Source organism: Homo sapiens, chromosome 6, assembly GCF_000001405.40.
Source record: "Homo sapiens chromosome 6, GRCh38.p14 Primary Assembly".
NCBI classification, from domain to species: domain Eukaryota; kingdom Metazoa; phylum Chordata; class Mammalia; order Primates; family Hominidae; genus Homo; species Homo sapiens.
In genome coordinates, this window is record NC_000006.12 from 32,109,942 (window position 1) to 32,131,952 (window position 22,011).

The 22,011-nt window shown below is 52.1% G+C and overlaps 2 protein-coding genes across 3 annotated transcripts, besides 3 other annotated features; both read right to left on the reverse strand.

Moving 5' to 3' along the window:
• ATF6B (activating transcription factor 6 beta) lies at positions 5,323 to 18,305 on the reverse strand. 2 transcript variants are annotated; one of them, NM_001136153.2, is made up of 18 exons: positions 18,185 to 18,305; positions 17,730 to 17,809; positions 17,501 to 17,579; positions 17,162 to 17,253; positions 16,176 to 16,311; positions 11,322 to 11,407; positions 11,048 to 11,183; positions 10,830 to 10,961; positions 9,883 to 10,016; positions 9,015 to 9,200; positions 8,834 to 8,925; positions 7,918 to 8,097; positions 7,646 to 7,753; positions 7,382 to 7,463; positions 7,096 to 7,166; positions 6,763 to 6,874; positions 6,539 to 6,623; positions 5,323 to 6,027 (listed from the first exon to the last, which is right to left on the reverse strand). In NM_001136153.2, the coding sequence occupies exons 1-18, from the start codon at positions 18,264 to 18,266 to the stop codon at positions 5,798 to 5,800; spliced, it is 2,103 nt and encodes a 700-aa protein (NP_001129625.1). In that variant the 5' UTR covers positions 18,267 to 18,305; the 3' UTR covers positions 5,323 to 5,797. The 2 variants fall into 2 exon arrangements, with proteins under 2 accessions (NP_001129625.1, NP_004372.3); NM_004381.5 differs by having other exon boundaries at positions 18,176 to 18,305.
• Positions 8,951 to 9,245: a silencer, noted in NCBI's record as "tiled region #2290; K562 Repressive DNase unmatched - State 5:Enh". NCBI's record gives its function as "represses a minimal TATA promoter and a strong SV40 promoter by Sharpr-MPRA in K562 cells {active_cell/tissue: K562}" and the evidence as "EXISTENCE:reporter gene assay evidence [ECO:0000049][PMID:27701403]".
• FKBPL (FKBP prolyl isomerase like) lies at positions 18,766 to 20,347 on the reverse strand. Its single transcript, NM_022110.4, has 2 exons — positions 20,154 to 20,347; positions 18,766 to 19,913 (listed from the first exon to the last, which is right to left on the reverse strand). The coding sequence occupies exon 2, from the start codon at positions 19,837 to 19,839 to the stop codon at positions 18,790 to 18,792; it is 1,050 nt and encodes a 349-aa protein (NP_071393.2). The 5' UTR covers positions 19,840 to 19,913; positions 20,154 to 20,347; the 3' UTR covers positions 18,766 to 18,789.
• Positions 21,564 to 22,011: a transcriptional cis regulatory region, noted in NCBI's record as "candidate enhancer chr6.1802 targeted for multiplex CRISPR interference". NCBI's record gives its function as "positively regulates FKBPL gene expression with high confidence in K562 cells {active_cell/tissue: K562}" and the evidence as "EXISTENCE:mutant phenotype evidence [ECO:0000015][PMID:30612741]".
• Positions 21,727 to 21,935: a silencer, noted in NCBI's record as "fragment chr6:32099445-32099653 (GRCh37/hg19 assembly coordinates)". NCBI's record gives its function as "represses an EF-1alpha promoter that drives an FKBP-Casp9 reporter gene in an ReSE screen in HepG2 liver carcinoma cells {active_cell/tissue: HepG2}" and the evidence as "EXISTENCE:reporter gene assay evidence [ECO:0000049][PMID:32094911]".

A 22,011-nucleotide genomic window follows, 5' to 3' on the forward strand; every position in this document is an offset into this window, starting at 1 on the left:
TCCAGTCCCACCATTTCTATCTTCTCGGCTTATCCCGTCCCCGAGCCACTCCTGCTGTCTGTTCTGTTCAGTCCCTCTCCTGTCACTGCCCCCTTTGCATTCTCCTACCTCAGCAAGTCCCTAGAGAAAGAGCAGGTGAGGCTTGGGCACTGGCAGGGCAAGGGCTTGGGTGAACACTGGGACATACAAGCCTTGGGGAGGAAGCTGGGGTTGGGGCGGACAAGGAAGGAAAGCCTGAAGGTTAGGAGGAAGGTTTAGGGTTGAAGAAAGGGCTAGAGACAGGAGGCAAATATAAGGGTGGGTCACCTGAATAGAGGGTGAAGTGGTGGAAAGCAGGGTGGGGGGCTGGTGCCTGGGTGCTGCGGGGGAGCAGGAACAGAGGCGGGGAGAGGTAGGGGCTGGAGGAAACGGACACGCTGTCTCTGGTCCCAGGCAGAAGACTGACAGCCAGAGGACAGGGGGGACAGGGAGACAGACACACCCCACATAAGTCTGTTGGGTGTTTCCCTAGCTTCATCTCCCCATGTGCTGCCCTGACAAGGAGCTGAAAAAGAGACTTTGCTACAGAGGAGAAATATCCCAGCTGAGTGGGAACCCACTACCCCCAGCTTCACAGTGAGGACTGGGTCTCTCTATCCTGCTACAGACCTCACCACTGAGGTGTAACTTGGCCAAGTCACGGGTGAAAGGTACGTGAGGGAGCCCATATGTGCTTGATTCTGCCACATGGGTGACGGCCCAGGTGTCTGCACACCAGGTCAGATCCCCATGGTGGCAGGTGTGTGGTGTTCCTGGGTCAGGGCGTGCCTGCACTGCATGTGGCTGTGGCCAGATGCCCAGTAAGCTCCATGTGGCCGAGGGCAAAGGCACACATGGGCTTTTGCGTGGGTGTCCCCGTGTGTGTCCGTGTGTCTGGGTGTGTGTGGCTGTTTTTTTCCTGGCTTTGATGGGGAGGATGAAGTCAGCATCTTGGACAGAGCCAGGCTCAGCTTCCTTCCTCTGCCTTGGCCTGAAGCCCCCAGAGCCAGCAGTAGGTAGCAGCTTCCCAAGGATCTCCTGGCAGGAGGTGGGGAGCCCTGCAGTGATAGGAAGAGGGAGGGTCTGGAGACAGTATCACACAGAGGGCAGAACACAGGGTATGAATTTCCTCTGACACCTTCAGATTTCTGTTCCATGGTCATATCCTTTAGTGTGTGTGTGCACGCGCGTGTGCCTATGCCCTATGTCCTGGCTTTATTATTTAGGAAGAATGGTCAACATAAGTACATTTGGCACAGAGAGTGGCCAGGGACCTCAGAGAAGACAGCAAGAAGGATGGTCCTGGGATGTTCTGGAAGCCCACTGTTGGGGTCTCAGAGAGAAATGTGGGATTCCAGATGTACACAAGCTTATAAGGCATTTGGGGAAGCCACTGGAAGCTTAGCAGATATAGTTTCAGGTTCTGAAATTATCTTTGTTTACCATTTGATTCACCCTTTGGTTTCCAGGCTCATGGAGAAGCTCATGTCTTGTATGTTCACATCTTGTAAGAAAAGCACCAAGCCTTGCACAGTGTAGGTGACCAATAAATGCAAGTCAACACTGAAATGTGAAAGGACTGGGAGAGAGGAGGGGGAAAGGGTAAGGAGCCCAGGCGTGAAGGCAGGGAAGCCCAGTGGTCAGAGCTGGGGTTGGCTTCACTGAGGTGTCTGGGTGGTGGTGGGTAGAAAGGTCAGTGTTGTCCAGAACTGTCCACAAGCTCCGGCTGTTCTCTGTAACCTCAGTCCCTGTGTCTTCAGCTCTGAGCCTCCCTCCTTGAATGATCCTCCAAGTTCCTGTCCTGACCTCAGGAGGAAAAGGGATGAAAGATAGAGAAAAGGAAAGGAAAGATAGGGAGGAGAGAAGGCAGACACATAAGAGTAAGGGCAATTGAGGGCAAGGACCTGAAGGATGAAGACAGGGGAACAAGAGATGCCAGGGGCTGCGGTCCAAGAAAGCAGTCCCAGAGAGGGGAAAGATAGAAAACACTTGTGCCGGGCTTCCGTTTACAAAACAGTTTCCTACACAGTGCGGGCATTAATCCCACTTTGTGGCTGAGGAAACGGAGGCTCATAGACATTAAGGGTCTTGTTCAAGGGGCTAAGTCAGTAGTGGTGAAGGTGGGTCTCACCCAGGTGTTCTCATTCCTAAGCCTGTATTCGCTCTTCTCCCCAAACAACTCCAGGAAAGGAAAGGATTGAAGACTTAGGGAACAAATGAAGTGGCTTCTTTGAAGCACTTGTACAAAGAAGGGTGGAGAATCCAGATTTTTGAAACTTTTCTGCATCCAGTTATTGTGTAGATTCACTTAGAAGAAATGGCATCAGATGGGGAAGGGGGTGGTCAACATTCCATTATTGAGAACTGGGGGTCGGGTGAGGATGGGGAACACAGAATGTAAAGACAGAGAGCAGGATGAAAGATGGGAGAGAACTAAGAGGCTACAGCTGAAAAGGGGGCAAGGGAGCCTCAGAAGGAAGGGTTTGGACCCTTAAAACTTCCTTTGCCTAGAGACATGGGTGTGGGGAGAAGGGAGGAGGAAGGACATTTCTATCTCGTGACAAAAGAAAGTCACACAATTGTTTTGTTCTCTGCTCTGAGGCGGGTGGGCGCCTGTATTTACCAGAGGGACCCAGGTCGCTGTGGCAACCACACATCTGGGCCCCGGAATCCAGATGTGCTGTATCCAGAAGCCATAGCAGAACGATGAGGCAAACATCAGGCTCCCCAGTGCTGGCCCCCACAGCTGGGAAGAGGATGGAGAACTGGTGTGGGAAGTAAAGGGAGTGGGGGAAGGAAGGAGGAGGAGAGGACCAAAGTGGGGGAAAAGAGAGGACATAATGGAAAGGGGCAAGAAATGTGGACGAGGGAGCAGAATGGGAAATAGAAAGGGGGCGGCATGAGAAAGGGAGGAGACAAGCACAGGGTCAGCAGCAGCAGCAGATGAGAAGACCAAGAAAAACAAAGGAAAAAGACAGTGAATTTAAAAATATATATATATTTTTAAATAAGGCCAGCACGGTGGCTCATGCCTGTAATCCTAGCACTTTGGGAGGCCAACATGGGAGGACTGCTTGAGGCCAGGAGTTCAAGACCAGCCTGGGTAACATAGCGAGACCCCACTTCTATTTTTAAATTAAAAAAAAAATTTAAGACAGTGAAGCAGTGGATGGGGTGGGGAAGATACAAAAGAAGAAAAAAACAGTGATGAATAATGGTTCAAAAAGAGGTTGTGATAACTGCTAATGAGGTAGAGAGCAAAGAAAGGCAGGAAAGAAGTCTAGAAAGAGGAAGGGAGGGATGATGAGGTCAGGGATGAGAGAGAACAAAAGGTGGGATCCTGAGGAAGAAATGAAGGAGATGGTGGCACAAGGAAAGCAGAACAGAAAGACAAAGTGGGCATAGGGCAGGAGGGGCCAATGAGGTGCAGGAGTGACAGCGACCTGGCATGCTGAGTGGCCTTGGGGGTGTGGCCAGAGGAATGGAGATCCACATGGGCCTAGAAGGCAGCAGCCCAGAGCCTGCCCGGCTTTCACCCTGCATCAGGTACCCACTCACCGTCCTTCTCAATCCTTCCTGCCACCACAATCCCTCAGCCAAGAGAGGTCTGATGTCTCATCCACACCAAAGTGCCAGCTGTCCCTTGCCAATCAGCAGAGGAGCAGGATGTCCCACCCCAGGGTGACCCCTGAGATGCCAGCACTTCAAGTACTTTCCCGAACTGGGGGCAGGAAGGAGGAAGACAATGGGACAACGAAACAGTAATGAACCCAAATGGGATAAAAGTGGAAGAGAGAAGGACAACAGAGATGGGGACAGAAAGGGGCAAGGGATGAGGAAAAGGTGTATCTATTATGGACCAGGCACTGAGGACGTCGTCTTTCATCCTGTCATCAACCCTGATTAGGAGGTAGGAACATCCCATCTTACAGATAAGCAAACTAAGGCTCAGAATGTTTAAGGACATCTACTAACGAAAGGCAGGGTAGGGAATCCAGCTTAGGTGATGTGCTTCCAAAATCCTTGTTCTCACTGCACCCCCTCCAGAGATACGGTGGATAAGGCTCAAGGACTCTGGGATAGAAAGCATAGCTGAGAAGCTGGGCTGCCCTCTGGAGGGAGGAAAGGTCTAGTTCCTGGGATCCCTGGTTCCAGGTTGCCATAGTTACTTGGTCTGTTTTCACCCCAAACACAGTAATGGGTGAGGGCAGTGGGAGGGGTGTGGGGGTTGCCTGGCTGGACACATGAGGTTCTTCCTCCCTCCTTCAGGCCTGGGCTTATGGCCCAGGCAGCCCCTGTCCAGTCATCTGGGCATTGAGCCCAGGCCCAGCTCACACCCTCCAGCTGACCCAGGACACTCCTGCAGGGTCAGGCCTGAGGCACTGCTGAACAGGAGCAGCTGGAGGGGGATTCTTCCAGGTTGGCCTCAGACTCAATCCCTCACTTTGTCCTGCTCCCCTTCCTCCTAATTAGAATGCACAGCCTAGCCAGGCATGGTGGCTCACACCTGTAATCCCAGCACTTTGGGAGGCCGAAGTGGGCAGCCTGGCCAATATGGTGAAACCCTATCTCTATTAAAAATACAAAAATTAGCCGGGTGTGGTGGCGTGCACCTGTAGTCCCAGCTACTTGAGAGGCTGAGGCAGAAGAATCACTTGAACCCAAGAGGCGGAGGTTGCAGTGAGCCAAGATCGCGCCACTGCACTCCAGCCTGGGTGAGAGAGCAAGACTCCGTCTCAAAAAAAAAAAAAAAATTAAAAACATAAGAATGTACAGCTTTTTCTGCCTGCCCCACTCTTGTCTTTGTCTTTCATCTGGACTCTCAAGTCTCAGTCCCCTCCAGTTTAGGGCTTAGAGGATATCCTGCCACATCCCCCTTCCCTTCCAAATATCACCCCTTCTTCACCGAGACCCCCACTTCCTGGGCTCTGAGCCTCTGGCCCCAGCTCTTGTTGTTTGTTTGAGCTGCTCATCCTGGACAGCAAGAAGAGGGGGAGAACCTGCTCGAGAGCAGGAGACCCAGAGGCTGCTCACCCTGAAGGGCGTGGGGCCCCATCTTTCCTGTTGACTCACATTCCAGGGATGCGTATCCTCTAGTCTGTCACGCCATGAGACATCGTTGCTAGACACAGATATACCCCAGAGTTGCAGGGGTGGGGGCAAGGGGATGACATGCGGTCTGTGATCCCGCACCCACCCCACCTCAGAGCCAGCTATGTCTTCAGTGCTTGATTCTTTGATGCTGGCTCTGGAAAAGCCACTTTCCCCCAAACTCCCCATCACGAGCCAGGAAGGCAGCCACCATTCCTTCAACTCCCTCCAAGTTGTTTATTTAATAATAATAAAAAAGAAATGCACACACATAAACCTGAACTCCCCCCCACCCCACCCTCCCTTACTCCCAGTAACTAGCTCCAAAATGAAAAAACTTCCCTTGTCCCACCTGGGGACTAAATTCCCACCTCCACTGCCATAACACTAGAGAAACAAAATAAAAAATATGCAGCAGCTCACCACCCACCCCACAACTGAACCTCACACAATCCCCTCAAACAAAGAAGCCAGGACTGGGGGTTCACAGGAATGAGAGGAGCCCTATATTCTGAAAAGGGATGAGAAGAGAGGTGAACACCCCCACCTCAAATAAGTGCTTAACCCCCACACCTGCTCTTTCCTTTACCAATTGCCCCAAGCCTGGGGATCAGGGAAATTTGAAACAGTCCCACCTGGCCACCTGGTACCCCCTCCCCCCGTTCTAAGTCAGTGTGAATGGCAGAGGTCAGGGATGATTGAGGTAGAGGGGCTGGTGGGAGGCCTGGTGGGCCTGGCTGGCTGCAGAGACTGGCAAGGGGCCACCTGTGGCATTGCCTGGGGTTGGGGATGGCTGTTTTCGGAGCGAGGGGGGCACTGTGGAGGTCTTGATGTGAATCACCCTGGTGTCCATGACCTCACACTCGATCTGCATCATCTCCTCATAGTCCCCCGGGGCCCCACGGCCTGACAGGGTCTCTGTGAGAAGGGGAGAGTTAAGGAAGAGGAGATGGGGAGGCAAACAGGGATTGCAGGGAGGAGGGGAGGAGGTCAGAAAAGTAGAGGTGAGCAGAGAGAAAAAGAAAGGGCAATAGTGAGGAGGCAGATCCATAGCGGGAGTTAAACAGGATGGCAGGGACAGAGTTTGGTGCAGGGGCAAGGAGAGGGTAGGAAAAGAAAAGGGCATTGAGTGTGGGGTCACACAGGAGAGGACATCAAGAGAAAAAAGTAAGTGAGAGTCTAGCAGGTTCCCGGCCCCCCGCCTCTGCCCAGTCATCTACCCAAGCACCTTCACCAGGGAAGGACCCTCACCCTTGTCTCCCTCCCAAGTCTCCTGCATGGTGCTCTTCCCTCCACCTACTTCCTGCTGCTTCTCACCTGTGGGTCCAGCAGCTCTCTGGATGCCCTGCTCCTCTCCCCCTTCCCCCTCAGCTCCCAGGCTGGATCTCCCTGTTGGAACTGCCCCCATACCCAGCAGGGAAAGAGTTACCATTGGGGGCCATGGCAGGCATCACCAGGGACATCTTGGGCCGGGAGGTCTTGTTGTGGCTGATGGCTGGGAGCAGCAGGTGGTCCTGGGGAACAGATGGGCCAGGCCAGAAGGGTGGAGGCAAAGATGCCAACAAGCTCCCCAGCCCTACTCTACATCCCCCCACTGAAGACAGACTGCTGGGAACCTGGGGTGACAGAGATGGAAGGGCAGGAGAAACTCACCCTTCGGAAAGAGACAACATAAAATGTGTCTTCCCGTCGGTCAATTGCATCCAAGAATGCTGGCTGCGAACGGTCTGGGTGGCGATATAGTTGCAGCTGGCCCACAGAATCCCTAGGCAGGTGGGGAAACAGGATTTGAGGGGAACTAAGCCCAATGCTCAGTTTCTACCAGGGAAGCGGGTAGGATGAGAGAAAAAGACAGGAGACCCCCAGTGGAGGAGGGAGGTATAATCCCACTGGTGACAGTAATGACAGGCACAGGACAGCTACTGGGGGTACAGCTCTTGAAAGTGGAATTTCACTTAATAAGTAAGCACCCCACCCCACACTCACCTTTCTGGGGGTCCAGGGGGTTGGATGGGGACTGCCTTAACTGGAGGTGACTTCTTCCGTGGCTGAGACTTCTGGAAGGAGAAGTATCTAAGGACTTGGAGAGGGTGAAGGGAAAAGGGAAAGAGACAAACAGCCCCTGGAAGCTGATGCCACCTCCCACTCAACCCTCCACTTCCTTCAAACGATCCCTCAAACTTCCACAGCGAGATGCCCACTAGAAATCCCCAGACAAGGCCTTTAGCCCTTGTCTTCAAGTGGCCTTCCTTGAACCAGCCACCCGCCCTACCTGTCTCTCCTGGGCCCTCTGAGGGATCTTCCTCCGGCCTCTCTGGTGGCGCTGGACCCAGCCACTCAACTCGTCAGCAAGCCTGGGGAAATGGAGGAGCTCAGGACCTCCATGCCAGGCCAAGATTCCCACCCTCCTTGCCCACCCACAGGAGTGAGGAGAGGGCAGGGAGCACTGGCGCTTTAGTACACAGGCCAGCCAGGCTGACTGCAGAAGGCCTTGGGAGGCCGGGGGAGCTGGATGCCCCAGCAATGAATCCCACACCTCAGGGACTCAGTGCGGTTGAAGTGCCGGCAATCAGAGGAGAGGAAGAGCTGGTCTAGGTCTCTTAGTAGTAGCTCCTTGGCGCCCCCAGGGAAGGCTGTCAGGTTGCTGGAGTGAAGCAGGAAGGAGACAACACTTGGAGACTGCCCAGCACTCCCACAACAAAGAAGGCGATGACGGCAAGAGAAAGCTTTGGGTCCCCCTCACTGAAAGCGGGGAGAAGACCAACTCATACCCTCAAACGAGAGGGGGCCCTCTCTCTCTCTCCTCACCTGAAACTGGGCTGGTCTGTGGGGCTGGGCTGGGGCTCCTTAGGGCCCTGGGAGGACCCCTGGAGAGGTTCAACTCCCTGAACTGGCTCTTGCTCTGAGAACCCCAGCAAGTGTCTCCGGGGTTGAGGCTCCCCCTTGTTCATCCGAGGAGAGATGGGAGCTGAAGGAGGCTCACTGATGCTGTGGATAAAGAAGGACTGAGCACAATGAAGAATTTCAGCTGTATCAAGTATCTAGGTAAGAATAAAGACTCTGCAGATGGACTGCTTGAGTTGCAATCTGTTATACAAGCCTGAGTCTGCCTCTGTAAGATGGGAATAAGGATGGTCCCTACATACAAAAAAGACAGTGCATCACCTAGAGCCTAGAACTCAGTAAGCACTTAATAGTCACTATTTCTACCAGCATTATCACCATCATCTACTCTCCACTGGAAAAATAATGGAGCAGGAGGCCGGGCGAGGTGGCTCAAGCCTGTAATCCTAGCACTTTGGGAGGCTGAGGTGGGCAGACTGCCTGAGCTCAGGAGTTCGAGACCAGCCTGGGCAACAACAGTGAAACCCTGTCTCTACTAAAAAATACAAAAAATTAGCCGGGCATGGTGGCGTGCGCCTGTAGTCCCAGCTACTTGGGAGGTTGAGGCAGGAGAATCACTTGAACCCAGGAAGCAGAGGTTGCAGTGAGCCGAGATCGTGCCACTGCACTCCAGCCTGGGCAACAGAACAAGGCTCCATCTCCAAGAAAAAAAGACAAATAATGGAGCAGGAAGGGGCTGGCCAGACACATCATCGGTGCCAAGGACACCAGAACCATTTGTATATAAGCAGAAGGAAATGGCCTGGGCCAAAGCAGGCAGCTAGGAGGCTGTAACGTGGGCTCCACCTGGAAGGTTCTAGTGAAGCAAGGAAGGTCTCACCTGACAGGTCCAAAGTTGAAGGCAATGAAGAGAAGGAAGACCATGATGCAGACCACCTTCCTGTTTCCAGACCCTAACTTGAGCTCGCTGTTCTAAGGTACAAAGAAGGAGACAAGAAAAAGGGGAATCATTCCAAGGAGGCTGTATTCCTGTTGGTCTCCCAGGGACAGACTGGTCTTACTTCAGCCAGCAGGGCCTCCAGCCGCCGCCGGAGGGCAGCATTCTCTCGGCGGAGCTGCTGGTTGTCAGCCAGTACTGCTTGCAGCCGAGCCTCCAGTCCCTGCAGATACTCTTTCTTCTTTCTCCGGGACTGGCAGGCTGACTCCCGGTTCTTGATCATTCGCTGCTGCCGCTTCAGCAGCTTTGCCTAGGCACCCGGAAGGTCAAAAAAGAATGACAGATGAGTTGGCAGAAGGAGACTATGCTCTCAAACCCCAAGGAATGATTTACCCAAAGCTCACATGGCCATTCCCCTGCCTTCCTGACCCACCTACATAGCCAGAGAGGTTTTTCCTCTCTACTCAAACACGCTAGGGAAGGGGCCCTTCTTTCAAACATTCCCTGCTACTGCTCCTCAGAGGTGGGAAAGGTTAGAGTGTGGGAAGAACTTTCTCCATGCTGGTGGAAACTCTTTCCTTCGTAACTCTTTCTTCCTGTCAGCCCACATTTGTAGGGTTCAAAGTTTAACCTTGTTATACTGCTTATACAGTTTACCTGATTTTCCCCTAGGAGGCAGCCTCCCTCCCCAACTATGGCCATGACCGTAGTCGTATAGTACAGTACGACTTCCTTGCCTTTAATTTATGGAGACCAACCCCATTTCTCCATCTGCAGTGACAGCAAACCTAAAGGACCCTAAAACTACCTGGAGTTGATATTCATATAGAAACAGGAGTCCATTCTGACCCTCAGAATGATCTAATGGGTCCGTTTCCTCACTTTTTTCTCCTAGGTATCGACTCCCTCCTCATCCCACAGTTCTCTCTATGGCAAGACTTCCCTCTTCCCTTCCCATCACTCGCCCTACTTCTCTCCTCCCCAACACTTACATCCACTTCAGGCGGGCAGGAGTTTCCAGGCATAGGAGCGGGAACGATGCTCTTCCTCTCAGGCCGTGGTAGAGAGGGAGCCGGCCCTTCAGGCTGGACTCGAATAGCACCCTGGATGAGGACAACTGGGGACACTGGGGCAAGTGAGCAGAGGTCAGAGGGCTGTGCGCTGGGTGGGGTCCTTGTGTCCACACCCACACAAGAGCACCCAAGGATTGGGCAGCCTCAATGGCTGCAAGCTCTCTGACAGGGTCAATGCAGCCCGCCTCCTTTTCTCCTTTTTTTCTTTTTTGAGATGCAGTCTTGCTCTGTCGACCAGGCTGGAGTGCAGTGGTGCGATCTCGGCTCACTGCAAGCTCCGCCTCCCGGGTTCACGCCATTCTCCTGCCTCAGCCTCCCCAGCAGCTGGAACTACAGACGCACGCCACCACGCCTGGCTAATTTTTTTGTATTTTTAGTAGAGACGGGGTTTCACTGTGTTAGTCAGGATGGTCTCGATCTCCTGACCTTGTGATCCGCCTGCCTTGGCCTGCCAAAGTGCTGGGATTACAGGCGTGAGCCACTGTGCCTGGCCTTTTTTTTTTAATTAATTAATTAATTTTTATTTTTATTTTTTGGTTTTTCTTTTTTCTTTTTTTTTTTTTTGAGACAAAGTCTCGCTTTGTCGCCCAGGCTGGAGTGCAGTGGCATGATCTCGGCTCACTGCAACCTCCGCCTCCTGGGTTCAAGTGATTCTCCTGCCTCAGCCTCCCGAGGAGCTGGGATTACAGGCGCCTGCCACCACTCCACGCTAATTTTTGTATTTTTAGTAGAGACAAGGTTTCACCACGTTGGCCAGGCTGGTCTTAAACTTCTGACCTCAGGTGATTCGCCCGCCTCAGCCTCCCAAAGTGCTGGGATTACCGGCGTGAGCCACCATGCCCGGCCCTTTTCTCCTTCTTCAGTACCTGGGGGTGGCTGGACGAGGGACTGCAGAAGGACTGTGGTGCTGGGAGGCACAGCTCTGGATGGCATTGGGACAGTGGTTAGCACTACAGGTTTGGGCTGCAGTGGCGGCTTCCGGGTGGGCAGGGCTTTGCCTGAAGGAAGGTGAGAGAAAAGAACAAGAAATGTCAGGACCAAAGGCCTCTCACTAGGGATTCCAAGTGTCAGGAGACTCCATTACCTGAGGAGCCATCAAGGGATGGGCCCATGCTGATCTGGACAGCTCCAAGTGAGGGGGCTGGGACATCCCACAGGAGGCATCCTGAAGGGGACAGGGACTCTGTCTTCACTTCCAGGACCTCCTCTCCTATAAAAGCCTATGTGGGGCATTCCAGAGATACATTAGTCAGGAAGAGTGTCGAGGAGAAGGAGCTGAAGAAGGGAAAGCTCTCATACCTCTAGGTCAGGAGGAACTCACTGGAAAACCTGGAGGAAGGAAGGAAGGTGGTGCTCACCTGGCTGGAGGAGTCGGCTGAGAGCAGGGAGGCCTCAGAGTTGACGGAAGAACATGGAGAGACAGGTTCTATCTTGGTCTGGACATCTGTGGGAGGCAGGATGAGGCAAAAGCTGGATATCATGTAAACACTGAAGGGTTAAGAGGGTTAAGATGGGAGGCTGGGCATGGTGGCTCACGCCTGTAATCTCAGCACTTTGGGAGGCCAAGGCGGGCAGATCACCTGAGGTCAGGAGTTCAAGACCAGCCTGACCAACATGGAGAAACCCCGTCTCTACTAAAAATACAAAATTAGTCGGGCATGGTGGCGCATCCCTGTGTCCCAGATACTCAGGAGGCTGAGGCAGGAGAATCGCTTGAACCTGGGAGGCAAAGGTTGCAGTGAGCCAAGATCGCGCCATTGCACTCCAGCCTGGGCAAGAAGAGCAAAACTCCATCTCAAAAAAATAAAAAAGAGGGTTAAGATGGGGAAATGGGTCCTTTCTCTTTGAACCTGAAAATAAAACTCTTCTGGCCCTAGATTACAGGCCATCCAGGAGGGGCAGTCACAGAGCTGCTCACCTGCTGGCTCTCCGCCCCGCTTTTCGCCTAGTGCTTCCCTTTCTCCTTTAGTGGCTCCTCTGATTTTTCTCATCCCTGCTCCATGTTCCTCAAAGCTGTCTTTGCCCTTCTGCGTTTCCCTCTTTCTTGTTCACAGAACTTGTCTATTCACATAGAATAGGCCTGAGCAGGGGAAGTGGCAGGGGGGTCTCCAGCATTCACATGGCCCAAATTCCTATCTTGCTGGATTTCCACCTTATCCCTGCCCAATGCATCTCCATGCTGACAACCGCCAAGTGTGCATCTCCCCCTGGCTGCTCACCTGCACCAGATTCTGACTTCCAAGCTGCCTGCTGGTCCCTTCCATTCTCATGCCTCACCAGTCACCCAAATCTAACTGGCCATAAATGAGGCTTCCTGATTGCCCCGTCACACAAGTTTTCCTCCCAGGCACCAAACAGCAAAGCCTCAGTCACCTCTGAGCCTCCATGGCCTCCAATAAATCTGCCTTTATGACTTGTTGATCACTCCATGAAAGAAAATGCTAGGCCCCATGTCGGTGAAATAAAACCCTTCTGAGGGCCAGATTCAGCCCACAGGTCAACAGTCCACCACTACCTCTGGTCCATACCGTTCACTTTGGTACTTAATTATATGATCACTAAGATTGCTTTTTAAAACTTCAATTTATATTTTTGAATAGATAATACAGTCATGATACAAATCCAAACGAACAAAGGAAAATTAAGTCAAAAAAAAAATCTTGGCGGGGCACGGTGGCTCACGCCTGTAATCCCAGCACTTTGGGAGGCCGAGGCAGGTGGATCACGAGGTCAGGAGATCGAGACCATCCTGGCTAACACGGTGAAACCCCGTCTCTACTAAAAAAATAGAAAAATTAGCCAGGCGTGGTGGCGGACGCCTGTAGTCCCAGCAACTTGGGAGACTGAGGGAGGAGAATGGCATGAACCCAGGGGGCGGAGCTTGCAGTGAGCCGAGATTGCGCCACTGCACTCCAGCCTGGGTAGAGCGAGACTCTGTCTCAAAAAAAAAAAAAAAAAAAACTTCCCTTCCCGGTCCTCCAGTCACTCAGATTCCCTACACAGAGATAACCACTATCAGAACTATTTAACCATGGCTGGGCATGGTGGCTCACGCCTGTAATCCCAGCACTTTGGGAGGCCGACACCCAACGCAGGTGGATTGCTTGAAGCCAGGAGTTTGACACCAGCCTGAACAACATGGCAAAACCCTGTCTCTACCAAAAATACAAAAAAATAGCCGGACATGGTGGCACGTGCCTGTAGTCCTAGCTATTAGGGGGGCTGAGGCAGGACAATAGCTTAAACCCAGGAAACGGAGGTTGCAGTGAGTGGAGATCACGCCAATGCACTCTAGCCTGGGTGACAGGGCAAAACTCTGTCTCAAAAAAAAAAAAAAAAAAAAAAAAAAGGGAACTATTTAACCATGATGTATTATAACCCTCACAAAACTCTCCAAAAGCAAGAACTATGTCTCATGTCCATTGAGGGTAAAGTACAGGCCCTCAAAAAATACCTAAGTATGGAGGAGAATCTGACTCTAATAACACTATGCAATGCAAAGCCACCAACAATCCTTACAATCCTTTTGCTGCTAATAGCAGTGGGCGATCTCGGCTCACTGCAAGCTCCGCCTCCCGGGTTCACCCCATTCTCCTGCCTCAGCCTCCCGAGTAGCTGAGACTACAGGTGCCTGCCACCATGCCTGGCTAATTTTTTGTATTTTTAGTAGAGATGGCGCTTCACTGTGTTAGCCCGAATGGTCTTGATCTCCTGACCTCGTGATCTGCCCGCCTTGGCCTCCCAAAGTGCTGGGATTACAGGTGTGAACCACTGTGCCTGGCCTGCTAATGGTATTTCAATCCTTATTTTGTGTATCTTTTTTATAACATGTATTAATCTGCTAGATATAATCTGTTTGTCCCTCCAAATCCACTTTCCATCCCTCCCTGCTGTGCTCCCTGAGATCCAGGGAGAATCTGAATGGACTGCATCAGCGGGCTCCCTGGTTGGAGTTCAGCCAGTGAGAGATGGTGCCAGGAGATCCAGAAGGTACTTTGAAATCAACAATCAACATGTCAACTGGGCATGGTGGCTTACGCCTGTAATCCCAGCACTTTGGGAGCCAAAGTGGGTGGATCACCTGAGGTCGGGAATTCAAGACCAGCCTAACATGAAAGAAGCCCTGTCTCTACTAAAAATACAAAATTAGCCAGGCGTGGTGGAGCATGCCTGTAATCCCAGCTACTCAGGAGGCTGAGGCAGGAGAATCGCTTGAACCCAGGAGGCAGAGATTACAGTGAGCCAAGATCACACCACTATTGCACTCCAGCCTGGGCAACAAGAGTGAAGCTCCATAACAACAACAACAACAGAATCAACATGTCCAACGCTGAATTCATCATCTTCCCTGACCAGAAAGCCCCTGCTTTTGCAGTCTCCATCCAGTGAACAGTAACATCACCCACCCACAGCCATCCTAGCCACAAACCTCTTTGACTCCTACCTCTCTCCAATGTCCAGGAGGTCACAACTCATCTATTCCACTTCATTCTTTCTCAAGTCTGCTTTCTTCATGACATCCGAATATCTTACTTGATCAACTGCATAAGCTTCTTCCTTGGTTCTCTTGCCTCTGGCCCTGCCCCTCTGCAACCCATTCTCTACTTTGCCACTAGAATCATCTTCCTAATCATATTACTTCCCTGCTTAATTCTCCAAAGGCCCCCACCTATCCACAGGATAAAAGCTAAGAGCCCCTTAGCAGGGGCCCCACCTGGCCCTGTAGCCCCTGCAGTTCCACATCACTCCCCAAATCCTTCTTACATCCACTCTGAAGAAATGCAGGGTCCTCAGACACAAGTCAACCCCCACACTGTCCTCCTGGCTAATTTCTACGTGTCCTTTAAAACTCTCAGGAAACCCTTCTTCCAGGGGCACATCCCAGATTCAGCGCCAATGTGGATGAAATGTCCCCTCTTATGAGCTTTCATGGTACCCTCTAGTGATTTTTTTTTTTTTTCCAGACGGAGTCTTGCTCTTTTGCCCAGGATGGAGTGCAGTGGCGTGATCTCGGCTCACTGCAAGCTCCGCCTCCCGGGTTCATGCCATTCTCCTGCCTCAGCCTCCCAAGTAGCTGGGACTACAGGCTAATTTTTTGTATTTTTAGTAGACACGGGGTTTCACCATCTTAGCCAGGATGGTCTCAATCTCCTGACCTCGTGATCCGCCCACCTCGGCCTCCCAAAGTGCTGGGATTACAAGCATGAGCCACCACACCCAGCCCCACCTCTAGTGATTTCTATCCTAGAATGACCACACCTGTATTGACTGGTACTTGTCTTTCTCCCATTACCAAATCACAGGGTTTGAAAGTCAGCATGGTGGTCAGGTCTTGTTCATCTTTGCATTCCCAGCATGCTGCTCAGTATCTGGCATGGAGTAGGTGCTTAATAAATATTTCTTTTTTATAATTATTATACCTCAGATATGATCACATCAATAAACATTTACTAAATACACAGCTACGAGTAAATAAACTTGGGAACACTTTAAAAATAGAACAAATAATGTTAATTGTAGAATCTAGTTTAGTATATGGTGTTCTAGCCTTTCTGTATGTTTAAAAATGTTTATGGGCTGGGCGCGATGGCTCACGCCTGTAATCTCAGCACTTTGGGAGGCGGAGGTAGGCGACTCATGAGGTCAGGAGTTCAAGACCAGCCTGGCCAACATGGTGAAACCCCATCTCTACTAAAAATACAAAAAATTAGCTGGGCGTGGTGGTGGGTGCCTGTAATCCCAGCTACTTGGGAGGCTGAGACAGGAGAATCACTTGAACCTGGGAGGTGGAGGTTGCAGTGAGCTGAGACCACACCACTGCACTTCAGCCCGAGCGACAGTGTGAGACTCTGTCTCAACAACAACAAAAATGTTTATAATAAAATGTTGGGTGGAGGGGAATCACACAGATACATATGCCCTAAACTGCTCACAAGTTTTTAAAAAGTAAGTTGAATGGCATGACAGAATACTAGGAACAAGAAAAAGAGAGAAAAATAATATCCATCTCCTCAGCACTGCCCTTGCTGTGGTTCCCTGAAATGTTTCCTCTCCTTCCTGCCTTCCCTCCTGGTTTTCTGCCATTTCCCCTCCCCACCTTTTTCTCCCTGTCCTGCTGCCTGCACTTCCCCTCCATCTACACACATACACACACACACATAACACATTCTCCCGTAGTAGAGCCAAGGATTGGGGGCAGGCTGTTTTATTACCTGAGGAATCATCAGAGGTGGGGATAACGTTGATCTGGACGGTTTCAAATGAGGATGTTGGGTCATCTCCCAGGAGACACAGTGGGGGTGCCAAGGACTCTGTCTTCACATGGAGCACCTCCCCTACCCCAAGAGCCTGGGTGAGAGTTGGTGTGGGGCAGGGGGCAGAAAGAAGGGCAAAAAACAAGGGAGATGTTGACAGTAAGAGCGAGAACAAAAGCTTTAGAAGTTTAGGGCTTACAAGCCATCAATTATTTGACATTCTGGTCTGAATGGTACTGACCATCTTTCTAACCTGTTCATTCTTTCTACTTTATTTCTGGGAGAATTGATGAAGTCTCATGACTTCAAATATGGCCTCAGAGTGGACAACTTGGGCAAGAACAGTTCCAGAATTCTCAGCAGTCAATAACTCTCTTCTTCCCAGCCCCACATAACTCTTTATATTAAAAAGACCCAAGATCAGGCGTGGTGGCTTATACCTGTAATCCAAGCACTTTGGGATGCCAAGGTGGGAGGATCACTTGAGCCCAGGAGTTTAAGTCCACTCTGGGCAACATAGGAAGACCCCATTTTTACAAACAATAAAAAAAATTAGCCAGACATGGTGGCATGTGTCTGTGGTCCCAACTACTCAGGAGGCTGAGGCAGGAGGATCACCTGAGCTCAGGAGGTCAAGGCTACAGTGAGCTGTGACCCTGTCACTACACTGTAGTTTGGGTGACAGAGGGAGGCCCTATCTCAAAAAAAAGCAAAAAACAAAAAACAAACAAACAAAAAAATCTTCACTGCTAGATAACCAAAGGGGATGTGGAAAATGAAGATATTAAGGAAACGGCAAAGGTAGTGGAGAAGGCCCCCCACACCTCACACACCTCATGACTCATAGCACACAAATCATTTAAATCATTTCTTTGTCACCCACGGGTGAAGGGAATGAAGCAGAGTCCCCGTCACAGAGAGTAAGAGGGATATGGCTCTCTCACCTCGCTGGATGGCTCTGTGGAGAGACGCGATGACTCGGAGCTGAGGGAGGAGGAAGAGCAGGGGGAAGATGGCTCAGACTTCACCTGAAGATCTGGAGGAAAGGGAGTTAGAAATTATCAGGAAGCAGAGCTTAAGAAGAGTCCAAAAAGTACCCAAGGACATGTCGGTGGGGATTCCTGTACCGCAGCAAGGGAGAAGAAACAAAAATAGGGGATTGAAGGAGAGAGGATAGGCACTTATGTAGAAGCGTGAGGATATAGGAAGCTACGTAGTTTCTGGGAAACAGTGGGAAGATGAGGGTTTCTGGAAATCTGAGGGAACGACAAAGACTACCTTACCTGGGAAGATCGGCAGGAGTTCCCATGGGGGCTCAGAGGGGCTGACATCCATCCCCACGTCCAGGGAGCTGCCGTCAAACTAAATAAGGGAGGATACAAGAGGGCAGGAGTGTGAGAAAGGATGAGAAAGTAGGGGTGACTCCAGATGAGTTATGGCCTGTGAATGGGTCCAGGTTCTGGGCTCACTTTCCACCCACCAAGGGTTAGAGAAAGGCTGGGGACACAATACCGGGACATCCTGCTCCGGGCAACGGAAGAGCTGCGTCTGCTCCTCGGCCACTTCATCTAGGCCAGAATACAAGGTGCTGTCTGCAAGAAATGCTGAGCGTCGGGGGGTCGTTCGGTGGCCCCAGCCTACAGATCGCACACAAGCCCCCGCCCCATCCCTCATTGGCTCCGCTCGGCCAGACCCACCGCCCGCCCACTTGAAAAGTGATACAACCAGGGCGCTTCAGCCCCTCCTTCCCCGACCCCGGAACAACTCGACGTTCCAGCAGGGAGCAGAGTTCTTCCCTGACTTTTGTATCCCCCTTAATGCACAACGAGCCCCCTGCTCCGCTCTCCTTCAGATGGCGGATTCCGTATTTGCCCAGACTTCCTCTTTAGGCCCCCGCTTCTTTCCCGCGTGCCTCAGGGACAGTTTGCCACAGCCCTCTCCCCTCCCCGGTGCCTCACTCTGCAGACCCCAGTCCTCCGGGCTAAGCAGGTTGTCGGTGAAGAAACGCGTCGGGTCAGCAATCTCGCTGAGCAGCATCAGCTCCGCCATCTTTCCCCCCCACCCCCCAACCAGGAGACGGTTCCCAAGGCCCGCCTCTCCCCATCACCAACTAATCAGTTGACTCTTTCAAAAAAGGGGGCGTCCCGGAAGCTCTACCGACCAGTAAGAGACCTGGGTGCTGAGCACGTGAATCAACAGATGCGGATGACTGTGTAGGCGGGCCCAATGGGAGCACAGCAGCAGGAAGTAACTTCCAGACAGTGCCATACCGCCAAGCGCATGCGCCAAACAGGCTCCAGTGATAAAGCGCCTGGGAGATGTAGTACCCAGTATTAAGGTCCACCATCTCCCCCAGCCACTACTAAGTTTAGTTTAGACAGCTTCTATGTGTCCTCGGAGATAGATAAGCCCCTCAAAAGGGGCGCACTGTGACCACTGCTACCTCCCCTAGGAAGCCAAAAGCTGAGAATGGGATATGGGCTGAAACCTTCCCTCTGGCCCCCCACCCCCAAATCTCACAGCACAGACCACAATTCACAAGTTCCTGTCTCTTTTAAGGTTTAACTTTTAATCAGCCAAACATCTTGCGCAGACCCTGAGCCAGCCCTGCATCCTGGTTCTTCCCCTGAATGACCACCTTCCCCAGTTCCTCCTGGGCTGCCCGGTTTTTGGGATCTATCGCCAGCACCTTCTTGAGGTCAGCAGTTGCTTTTTCCAGGTTCCCAAGGGCAGCCTGGGCAACCCCCCTTCGGTATAAGGCCTTTAAATGGCCAGGCTCCCGCTCCAACACCCGGTCACAGCTCTGGGCTGCCAACTGAGGCTGCCCTAGCAACAACTGACAGGCAGCCAGATTGGCATGAAGGACAGTTCGTTCTGGAGGGCCAGGTGGGGGTAAAGTCAGGAGCAGCCGAAGAGCCCGTCCATAGCATCGGGCAGCTCCTTCAGGGTTCCCAGCTCGAAATAGTTCTGTGCCCCTTGCACGTTCTTCCCTGGCCAGGGCTTCCTTCTCGCTAGTCTCCAGCTCCCAGGAGTCTCGGCCTTGAGTGAAGGATGCCAGTGTGAGCCTGACAGGAGGTCCAGAGTGCCCAGGCAGCTGAAGCTCTGCTTCCTCACCTTGACACATGGACTCCAAGCATTTCTCTATGAGCTCCCCCCAAGTTTCCTCCCTCCATGGCCCTACGCCCATAGTTAGCTCTGTCCAGCCCTCTGGCGGCCCTGATCCGAAAGGAAACCCCAAAGCCAGTACCCGGCAGCAGGAGCCTAGTTTGGGTTTGTCCAAGCCATGGCCACGGATTACGATCTTCTTGACAAAGCTCCCATCGGGGCAGTACCAGAGATCAGAAGCTTGAAGGGCCTCTGGCATCTGACTGGTTGATCCATGAGACTTATGAGAGTCTCCTTCAAGTTCAGCAACCAGTTTTTCAGCTCCTTGAGTATGCTCTAGAATTTGGCTGGCTGGATCTGGGCTTACTTCCAGCTCAAGCGTTTCGGTAGGAGGGTCTCGGGGCTGCTGCCTAATCTGAATAACTGAATCAAGGTTCTCCCGAAGGTTCTTTTCCCACTCTTGTTGCGGCTGAGAGGTGTCCTTTTCTCCAATTGTATTGACTGGTGGCGTCTCCATATGGATGCTTAGTCCCTTCCACGGTGAGTGAACAGTTTTGGTCAGAAAGGGATGAACCAGGTTCAGGTCAGCACCTGAAAAGAAAACCAAACAATGCTAATAGCAGGGTTCTTATTTAGACTCCTTTCTCGTCCTTTCCCATTCTTCTGAGACCCAGGCCCCTAGTCCTGAAAGTCCCCAGTTTTGCTTTCCTCCAAAAATCTGCTCCAGCTTCCCCGTTCCACCCACATATAATTTAGAACTATAAATTCCACAATTCCCTGCGGTTAAGGTAGCCGCGCCAACTACGGACACCCGGTCGGGTCAATAAGTACCTGCGCGGCCAAAGTGCCTAGCATGGTGACAGGAGGAGCCGGGCCATTCGAATCACCTCTCCTTCCAAAGCTAAATGGCTACTGAATGCTGCCCTCGGAGCCTTGCCCCACGCGGAGAGGGCAGCCGGAGAGGGGCGCGGTGCGGGAGGCGGGGGTAGGGGGCGGAACAACTGGGAAAGATACTGACAACTAACCCTGGAGCCCGCGAGACTCCGAATCTAGTCAAATTCCTGGCAGCCAATCGGGAGAAGGGAGGAATCTGGTTAGCCCGCCTATTGAACGTGACATCATTTCCTCCGCAACCATGAAGCTCCAGGCCTTAGCAACTGAACTAGGCCAGAGCAACCGAACTAGGCAGAATCGAACAGAATTTGGCGCGGTCGGGCTGGCCAGGCTGCTCAAGAGTCAAAGTGGGCCAACATGGTGAGACCCTGTCTCTACTAAAAATACAAAAATTAGTAGGTCATGGTGGCGCGCGCCTGTAATCCCAACTACTCGGAAGGCTGAAACAGGAGAATCGCTTGAACCCGGGAGACAGACGTTGCAGTGAGCCGAGATCACACCATTGCACTCCAGCCTGGGCGACAGAGCGAGACTAGAGACTCCGTCTCAAACAAAAAAAAAAAAAAAAAAAAAAAAAAAAGGTGGGCCGGGCGCGGTGGCTCACGCCTGTAATCCCAGCACTTTGGGAGGTTGAGGTCAGGAGTTCAAGACCAGCCTGGCCAACATGGTGAAACCCCGTCTCTACTAAAAATGCAAAAATAGCTCGGCGTGATGGCGGGCGCCTATATCCCAGCTACCCAGGAGGCTGAGGCAGGAGAATGGCTTACCTGGGAAGCGGAGGTTGCAGTGAGCCGAGATCGCGCCATTGCACTCCAGCTTTGGCAACTGAGACTCTGGGAGGCTGAGGTGGGCGGATCACGAGGTCAGGTGATCGAGACCATCCTGGCAACATGGTGAAATCTCGTCTCTACTAAAAATACAAAAAGTTAGCTGGGCATGGTGGCGTGTGCCTGTAATCCCAGCTACTTGGGAGGCTGAGGTGGGAGAATCGCTTGAACCAGGGAGTCGGAGGTTGCAGTGAGCCGAGATGGTGCCACTGCAATCCAGCCTGGCGACAGAGCAAGATTCCCGCCTCAAAAATAAATAAATAAATAAATAAAAAGCCGGGCATCGCGCACGCCTGTAATCCCAGCAATTTGGGAGGCCGAGGCGGCGGGGGGGGGCGGGGCGGGGGGAGGGGGCGGGGCGGCGGGGGGATCACTTGAGGTCAGGGGTTCGAGACCAGCCTGGACAACATGGTGAAACCCCGTCTCTACTAAAAATACAAAAAATTAGCTGGGCGTGGTGGCGGGCACCTATAGTCCCAGCTACCCGGGAGGCTGAGGCAGGAGAATGGCATGAACCCGGAAGGCGGAGCTTGCGGTGAGCCAAGATCGTGCCACTGCGCTCCAGCCTGGGCGACAGCGCAAGACTCCGTCTCAAACAAACAAACAAACAAACAAAAAGTCAAAGTGTAGAGAAGTCCTGGAATGGAGACTGGGGGCGGATGACAATAGAGTGGAGAATGGCAGAGGTCGTGGTAAATGATAGTGGCAGCAGCCTTTTATCTGGAGACTTCAGGCCCTCCTATGCTAACTATCTTTATGTTCAGAGCTCATTCAGTACAGGGTGTTCTCCAGGATAAAACCTCGGGACTCTCTCTCCAACCGGCCCTGTCCCTTGGGTGACTACCTGAGGCTTCTCTTTACCTTTCCTTTCACATCCATCATTGCCTTTCAAGTCCTCCTTCATCAAGAAATCTTAGTGCTTTTCAAACATAAGTGTGCATACATATCACCTAGGGAACTTGTTAAGT